Consider the following 8,193-nt stretch of genomic DNA (forward strand, 5'->3'; position numbering starts at 1 on the left):
TCATCCTGTTAGTAGTTTGAGTTGCCACTGCTGTCGTTCGCCCTGACTAAAATGAGAATAAATATACACACGGCTTATAACCAAGCAAACCACCTGCCTGTATGAGAAAGATGGCATAGTACTAAAATAGAGCCAGGGGAGAGGACTTTTAAGATGGCTGCTAGCGTTACTATGGAAATTTAATTCCCGACTAGAAGCAAGTCCTATTCAAAAGGCCAAGAATGGCCATGTTAGGTCAAAAATGGAACATGAACTGGGGGAAAAGATTGCTTTTCAAGAGAACCAGACAATTAGTTTGGCAGAGGATCCACCCTACAAAGAGAACATTACAGACACCTAATGTGAGGGATCTTTATTCTGTTAAAGTCCAATTTTTAAAAGCGCCTACAAGGGATAAGGTGGCAAGAGAATGTTCTCCATTTCAGCAGAGAAGTTTACATGGCAGCGGGAGGGATGGAGGTGAGAGGTCAGAAAAAACTTTGCCAGCAGAAGAATTGTAAGACACTGATCTGTGTTCCTGAAGAGAGTTGTGGATGGGTTTCTCTAGGAATTCTAAAGAAAAGTAAAATTAGGTACATGTCCCGGGTGGTCCGGGTTAATGCCTTCCAACGTTTTTCCTTCTAAAACCTTCAAGAGGCCGGGCGCGGTGGCTCACGCCTGTAATCCCAGCACTTTGGGAGGCCGAGGCGGGCGGATCACGAGGTCAGGAGATCGAGACCACGGTGAAACCCCGTCTCTACTAAAAATACAAAAAATTAGCCGGGCGCAGTGGCGGGCGCCTGTAGTCCCAGCTACTCGGGAGGCTGAGGCAGGAGAATGGCGTGAACCCGGAAGGCGGAGCTTGCAGTGAGCGGAGATCGCGCCACAGCACTCCCGCCTGGGCGACAGAACGAGACTCCGTCTCAAAAAAAAAAAAAAAAAAAAAAAAAAAAACCTTCAAGAGTCCACAACATCATTTTCTGAGGTCTAACTCTAACTCAAGATTAGGAATCCAAAGTCTCTTCAACTCCCCAATCTGATGGTCTTTGTGTGCAGGCAAAAGGTGTGTGTGTGAGTGTGTGTGTGTGTGTGTGTGTGTGTGTGTGTGTGTGTGTATTCAACCATAAGTAGACTGCAGCTGCTTAAACAATTCAGGGGCAATATGTGGAAAAATACTCATACCCAGGCCCACTGCCTCCTGTTAGGTTTTGAAGGGAAGGCAAGGGTTAAAGACGTGCGCGCGCGCGCGCACACACACACACACACACACACACACACACACACACACACACACGGAAAGAGTGTGACTCAACAGCAAATGCAGGCTAACGCCAGAGCCCACCACTTGGGCGGGAGGGGTCTGGGCAGCATGGCTTGCTACCCTGTAGGATATTGGTAAGATGTTCCCATGATGAGGCAGTTCTAGCCCTTGTTCTGGGGAGATGTCATCGTGGTGTTCCTTGGACCTTTACCCAGCCAGATATGATAGGGATGTTTCTTTAGTTGGGCCTTTGTCTGCCTTGTGGTCAAGTGGTCAGGCAGGATGTTTCTCCCGGTCCGAACCCCTGTGAAATGTTTCACTTTGACCAAGGTCTGCAAAATAGCAGGGAGCTTACAAAATGGTACAGTTTGGACTGACACCTCCTACCTTTCTCTGTATTTGCTGCTTCATCATCCATTACCCTCCAGCCCACCATCCAAAGTTTATCAAGGGAAGTATGAATTCAGTCAATCAGCAAATATTAATTGAGCTGATAGACTGAATTGGCTGAATTTATGTAAATCACCGTGTTAGGTGCCATGGGGAAAATAAAAGGCAAAAATTTTATTGCTGATTTCAAACAACTTGCCCCAAAGGAAGACCACATGTGAATACATGAAGAGGTAGTGGGTTAGTTTAGGGGCCCAGCAGTAAAGAGTGTAAGCACTTCAGAGGCTCTGGAAAGGGAGAGCTCTTTGCTTGCTGGGCTGGCCAGAGAAGGTAAAAAGAGTATCTTTTTTTCTCCCAACTGTGGTTAAACACACACACACACACACACAGAATGTACTGTCTTAACCATTTTTGAGCATACAATCCAGCAGTGTTAAGTATCTTCTCATTGTTGTGCCATGTATCTCCAGAAATTTTTCATCTTGCAAATCTGGAACTCTATACTCCTCCCCGTAACCCCTCCCTCAAACCCCTGGCAAACACGATTCTACTTTCTGTTCCTATGAATTTGACTCCTCTAAGTATCTCATATAAGTGGAACCATATGACATTTGTCTTTTCCTGACTGGTTTGTTTCACTTAGGATAATGTCCTCAAGGTTTATCCCTGTTGCACCATGTAGCAGGATTTCCCTCCTTTTTCAGGCTGATAATATTCCATTGTGTTTGTAGACCACATTTTGTTTACCCATTCATCCATCGATGGATATGTGAATTGCTTCCACTTCTTGGCTGTCGCGAACGCTGCTGCTAAGCGGGCGTGCAAGTATCTCTTTAATACCTTGCTCTCAATGCTTTTGGATGTATAACCAGAAGTAGACTTAATGGATCATATGGTAATTTTATTTTTAACTTTTCAAGGGATCGCCACTGTTTCCTAAAGTGGCTGTACCATTTTCCATTCCCACCAAAGTGCATAAGGGTTCTGATTTCTTCACATCGTCACCAACACTTGTTATCATTTATTTATTATTATTTTTTTTTACAGTAGCCATCCTAGGGGGCGTAAGGTGGAATCTCACTGTGGATATGAGTTGCATTTCTCTAATGATTTGTGATGTTGAACATCTTTTCATATGCCTGGTGACCAATTGTGTATCCTCTTTGGAGACATGTCTATTCAAGTCCTTTGCCAATTTTTAAATCCAGTTATTTGATTTTTTGTTGTTGAAAAAGGAAAACATACCTTGAGCTGAATTTGAAGACAGAAAAAGGTCTGGATAGGTAGAGTCAGGCTCTTGTTGAGCCAGGAGTCAAATGACCCAATCAGAAGGCATTAAGGAAGGTGAATCTGGTGTGCTGTGTGGATAAGATGGGCAATGAGTGCAGGCAAGGTCTTCAAACCAAGATTCTCTGGCTCCTTGTTGAGGATTTGGAGAGGCCAAGGGCCTCAGACTTGCATAGCCAGCTTAGCTAAACTAAACTTTTGCAGTTAAAGCAGACATGGTTTCCTTGTTACGGTCACTACTCAAGCCGATCCCTTAAAGGGAGAGGGGTCTTGGCCTCCACTGTCACCCCAAGTGACTGATGGGGCAGTCCTTTACATTTCTAGTGTCATTTCTAGTTTATCTTCTGGTGTTATTTTTTTATAGCCTCCAAGTGATTGGCACCTTGGCCCTCTCCCTACCTCCTACTGGCCTGCTATGGCCAGGGCAAGAGCCCAGAGGGTAATAGGGCTGATGCAGTGACAGGGCCTCAGGTGATGGGGCAAGATCAGCCTGGCACACATCCTGCCACATCCTTGAGACGCTGGGTTGCACACTGCCCTGACTCGAGGGCTACCCCTCCAGCCAATGGATTTTATGGGCCTCTGTCTCCACTGGAAGCAGGAGAGAATCCAGGTCTGTCAATGCTGAGATCTCTTCTGAGTGCCTGCTGTTCCATGTTTCCCACCTGGCGAAACACTCATCAAATGAGTTTTGTTGGGTGGGGAAATGCTCCTGATACACTGTCACCAACTAAGCCACAAAACAGTATTACTGCATGAGACTCCTATTAAAAGACAGAGATAAAGAGACAGTGAGAAGGGGAAGGACAGGGAGGTGATACACCTCAGATATAGTAGCTGCTTCTAGGTAGTGGAATATGGATGAATTTTTGTTCTTTGTGCTTTTCTGTATTTTCCAAATTTTTGAACATGAATATGTATTACTTTTGTAATCAGAGAAAAGGACAGCACATGGTAATTTTTAAAAAGCCTTTGTTGGGCTTTATGCTCACTTGGGCTTGGTGCCCTTGTGGATTCCACACAGAAAATTGTAGGGTCCTTGACCCTCAGAGCTTCTCATCCCAAATACACCTGCTGCTCTGCCTGAAGGGTCCAGAGACAGTCCTGGGGAGCCACAGAACAGCCCTTCACACCTAACCCCTCAGAGCAAACAAAACAGCCTGGAGTGGAGGCACCAGGCATAGGGTGAAAAAGGATGGAGCCAGAAAGGGAGGTGGGCATTCCTGGGGACCTAGGGTCACCTTCATCTCTTCTTTAGTCAATCCAGAAAGCCCTCAGCCTTTTGGATGAGACAGCAATTAGAAACTAGAAGGGGCTAGCCTTGCAGATGAGGCTGAGAGGAGCCCAGCGTGGGCTCATCAGAGTGTGCAGATGGCCACCCCAGCATGGCCTGGCTCCTCATGGCCATTCCTTGCTGGAGAAATCCCCATGTTTTCAAGGACTGACTCTCCCCCGATAGAAATCGGCTTGGTAAGGGAACCGGAATGGGTTTAGCAAGGCAGAGAGGAGGCTGAAAGACAGTATCTTGATTTGAATCGGTGGTATAAAAACCGGCAAGTCTGGGATTCTAACATCAGCCATTTCCCTTCCTACCCCAGGAGGGGAAGCATCATGGGTCCTAAAGATAGCCCCGTGGGAGAAAAGGGGCCTTCGAGGCTGCATGAGGCAAGGATAGAGATAAAGTCCTCCCTCTGCACTGCCCCTTAGAAGATAAGGTGGGCTGCTGCTGGTTTACGCATAAAAGCTGCACGTTATAACCATAATCCTGGGCATTTATAGAGCACCTTTCCTGCTCTCTAAGAGCTTTTATGTACCTCATCTTATTAGACAGGGGGGAAACTGAGTTTCAGAGGAAAAAAAAAAAGCAGCATGCCCAAGGGCATAGAGTAGTACAGCCAGGACTGCAGCCTGGGGCTCCAGACTCCCGAATCAGGCTTCTTTCCCAAGACCAGCTGAGTAATTTACACACGTCCACTCATGTTTCTGAGCTCCAGGGGACCCTGCCCAGGGAACGGGGTGCCTGTGTTCTGGAGATGTTGTCTGAAAGCCCAGATTCTCTCTGATTTCACTCCTAGCCCCAATACCTCCAAGTTGCCCATCTTATGTCATCAAGTTTGAACAAATCCACTCCTTACAATCTGAAAGACGTGGTTGGCCAGGCAAGGTGACTCACACCTGTAATCCCAGCGCTTTGGGAGGCTGAGATAGGTGGATTGCATGAGCCCAGGAGCTCACAACCAGATTAGGCAACATAGCGGACCCTGTGTCTACAAAAAATACAAAATTAAGCCGGGCACGGTAGCTTGTGCCTATGGCCCCAGCTACTCAGGAAGCTGAGGTAGGAGGATCCTTGAGCCCAGGAGGTAGAGGTTGCAGTGAGCCGAGATGGCACTACTGCACTCCAGCCTGGGAGACAGACCGAGACCCTGTCTCAAAAAAATAAAAATAAAACAAAAGACACGGTTCTGAGGTCCTCAAGAAGAAATCCCTGACGGGGTTCCTGTCTGCCTACAAGCCCAAGAGGATACCTGCATAACCGGCCTGCGCGAGCCTTCTGGGCGCCTCAGCTTGAACAAAAGACGCCTTTGCGAACATTAGAATAGGGCGCCCCCTCCTGGCGGATGAATTAGAAGGCAAGGCCCTCAGGCTGGCTGTGCGCCCTCAGGTCCAGTGACTTCAGCTCTCTCCCAACCCAGGGGCGGGCCCTGTGCAGGGCATGCAAGGGGCTTCACCCCCAAGCACCAGAAACGCCCAGAAAGCCACCCCAGGGCTGTCTCCCCATCCTCCCTCCCTGTGCGCACACACTATTTTCTTTCAAGCTTTCCACCTGGTTGATCAGGAAGGCTCCTCACCTCACACCCCGCCCCTTGCCAATGGTCTGGATTGGATTTCCAACTCCCTATGTAGAGCTGATGAGGTCTCATTCCCACGGGGAACCAGAGCACTTTCCTCCTTCTCTGCCACCCCCACCCACCCCCCTTGGAGAGCTCCTTTATGCTCTATTTTTAGTTTCTTGATTGCAAGTGAGAAGTCGGAATCAGAGAACGTCGGGAAAATGCAGCAGGAACCAACCCTGAGAAATGGACAGCAGCATGGGGAGGGAGCAGAGGGGCCCATGGGAGGGGGAGCCATGGCACCCCGAGAGCCTCCAGCCCCAAACTCACTGGTGCACAGGAAGGACCCGGGCGTGTTCTCCGTCCTTCTCCAGGCCAGCAGGGAAAGGGGTCTGGAGGAAGGCCACAGAGCTGGAAGGCCCTCTAGAGGCCTCCTAGCCCAGCCTGCTCCTTTCCAGAGGAGGAAACTGAGTCATGCAGCTGGGCAGTGAGTGGCGGGGCCGCAAGAGGTCCCCTGATTCCTGAGGCATCTTTCTGTGGTTCTGCACAAGGAGGTCCCACAGCTTGGCCGGGAGCATGTCCCCCTGACTCCTCCTCAAAGCGGATGTCACCTCCATACCATCCTGAACGCCAAGACCCAGACGGGCCTCTCTGACAGCCCAGCCCGGCCCGGCGCAGGCCACAGTCACCCCCACAGCCTCCCGGCCACCTTCGAGTTGCCCAGTGCTCACTTTCCCTTACCCGCAGAAGTCGGCGGTGGCCCATGCATCACCTCCCTCCCGAGCAGAGACAGAAACACTCGGGGCCAGGAGCGCTCCCCCCACGAGCCGCCGCACTCCCTAAATGAATGAACTGGCTGCTCCAAAACCGCGGCGCAATTGGCAGTTATTGCTGGCAGTTTATCAGTATTAACTGATTAGGCCCGGGATGATGGATCCCCTGTCTCGCAAAGCCCGCCGCCCCACGAGCCGCGCCCCACCCTCAGCCGCCCCCAGGCAGCCTGCACGACCCAGCTCCTGGAGGCGCCCGGGCCCGCATCAGCCTCCGGAAGGCCCCGGCCCCCGCGTGCACCCGCTCCCACTCCCCACGGGCCCCTCCCTGTAAAAGAGACACATTTAAATAAATAAAACAAAATTCAAATGAGGACACTAAATCTCCCCGGCGTTTAATTGATGATCATTATGCTTGGGAACCTAAACTCTTTTAATTTCACTGCAGTGCAGGGAGATGAATTATAGAATTACAGTCGCCAATTATCAATCACGCCTTTGCTCTGCGTCTCTTGGCTGCCCAGCCGGCTCACCCTCCCTCTCGCAGGCCGGGGGTTGAAGAGGCGGGATAATAGCCTTGGAAACAGAAGCTCAGCGGGGGAGAGGGGAACGAACCCCAGGTTTCGAGATGCCCGGTTTCTCTCTCTCTCTGTCACCACCTCCTTCCTAATATGCCACCTTTGCCACTTCATTTAACAAAAAGAAAATAATAAACAGCAGCAGAGAAAAGAAAACCCTTTTTCATTTAGAGCTTGGCGTTTAATTCGTTTTGTTCAGGGTAAGATGGGCTGGTGGCTTCAGTCCCCATACTGGGCAGGATTCCAGTAGCAACTACTGCCCCCACCCAAGCAGCTGCAGCCCAGTCCACCTCGCTGCAGGGCACTGGAAGGAGGATGCTTCAGAGGGGCCCAAGCAAGCTTGAGTGCCACCCCGCACACAGGGCTGGAACCCCAGCTTCCACCATCAGGGACTGATTCCGTTGCCCTCTCCTTCCTGTCCTTTACTGTGAAAATAATAATAATAATTTGAATAATAATTTCCACCAAAGCTGTGAATGATTTGCATTTGTATAGTGCTCCGCAATTTACAAAGTGCTTTCATGTGCATTATCTCATTTGATCCTCCCGATAATCCTGAGAGAGGTCGGTAGAGCAGGTATTCTTGTTATTCAAACGTTTATTCATTCATTTGACTAACATTTATTGAGTTTCTACTTTATGCCAGGCCCTGGGGATATAAAGACAAGAAAAAAGGTGGGCTCCTTCCTCAAGGATTTGCAATCTGTTAGCGAGAGCCTACTAAGTGAGGCCTAGGGACAAACGGTTCCACTTCACAGGGGAGGGACGGGAGGCTGGGAGGGGCCCAGCAAGCTGACCACAGTTGTGAGTGACAGGGCCAGATCGGCCCCCACATTTGCTGCATATGGCTCTAAGTATGCGCTTTCCATCTACGTTATTATGTTGTCACCATTGTCTTCATCTCATCTATTTTTTTAAAGTACCCACATAAATTCATTTCTAGCCAAAAATACATACTCATGGGTAAACAGTTGTAGGACAGGAGAGAAAAGTTTGGGAGCCTCTGACACCAACAAATCTCTCAAGGCCAAGTGCATTCCCACTATGTAAAGGGAGATGAGGGGTGCGCGAGCACCAGATGCCTGGGTCCTCCC

General features: G+C 49.4%; 1 long non-coding RNA gene across 1 annotated transcript, besides 1 other annotated feature; it reads right to left on the minus strand.

The window, feature by feature from the left end:
• Positions 1-2,849: 2,849 nt before the first annotated feature.
• LINC02151 (long intergenic non-protein coding RNA 2151) lies at positions 2,850-6,634 on the minus strand. Its single transcript, NR_174967.1, has 2 exons — positions 6,493-6,634; positions 2,850-3,681 (listed from the first exon to the last, which is right to left on the minus strand). It is a non-coding gene; the product is annotated as a long intergenic non-protein coding RNA 2151 (long non-coding RNA).
• Positions 5,152-5,844: an enhancer, noted in NCBI's record as "H3K4me1 hESC enhancer chr11:116369918-116370610 (GRCh37/hg19 assembly coordinates)". NCBI's record gives its function as "activates a minimal SCP1, AML or CMV promoter by ChIP-STARR-seq in naive H9 embryonic stem cells {active_cell/tissue: H9 hESC(naive)}" and the evidence as "EXISTENCE:reporter gene assay evidence [ECO:0000049][PMID:30033119]".
• Positions 6,635-8,193: the final 1,559 nt, after the last annotated feature.

Source organism: Homo sapiens, chromosome 11 (assembly GCF_000001405.40).
Source record: "Homo sapiens chromosome 11, GRCh38.p14 Primary Assembly".
Lineage (NCBI taxonomy): Eukaryota > Metazoa > Chordata > Mammalia > Primates > Hominidae > Homo > Homo sapiens.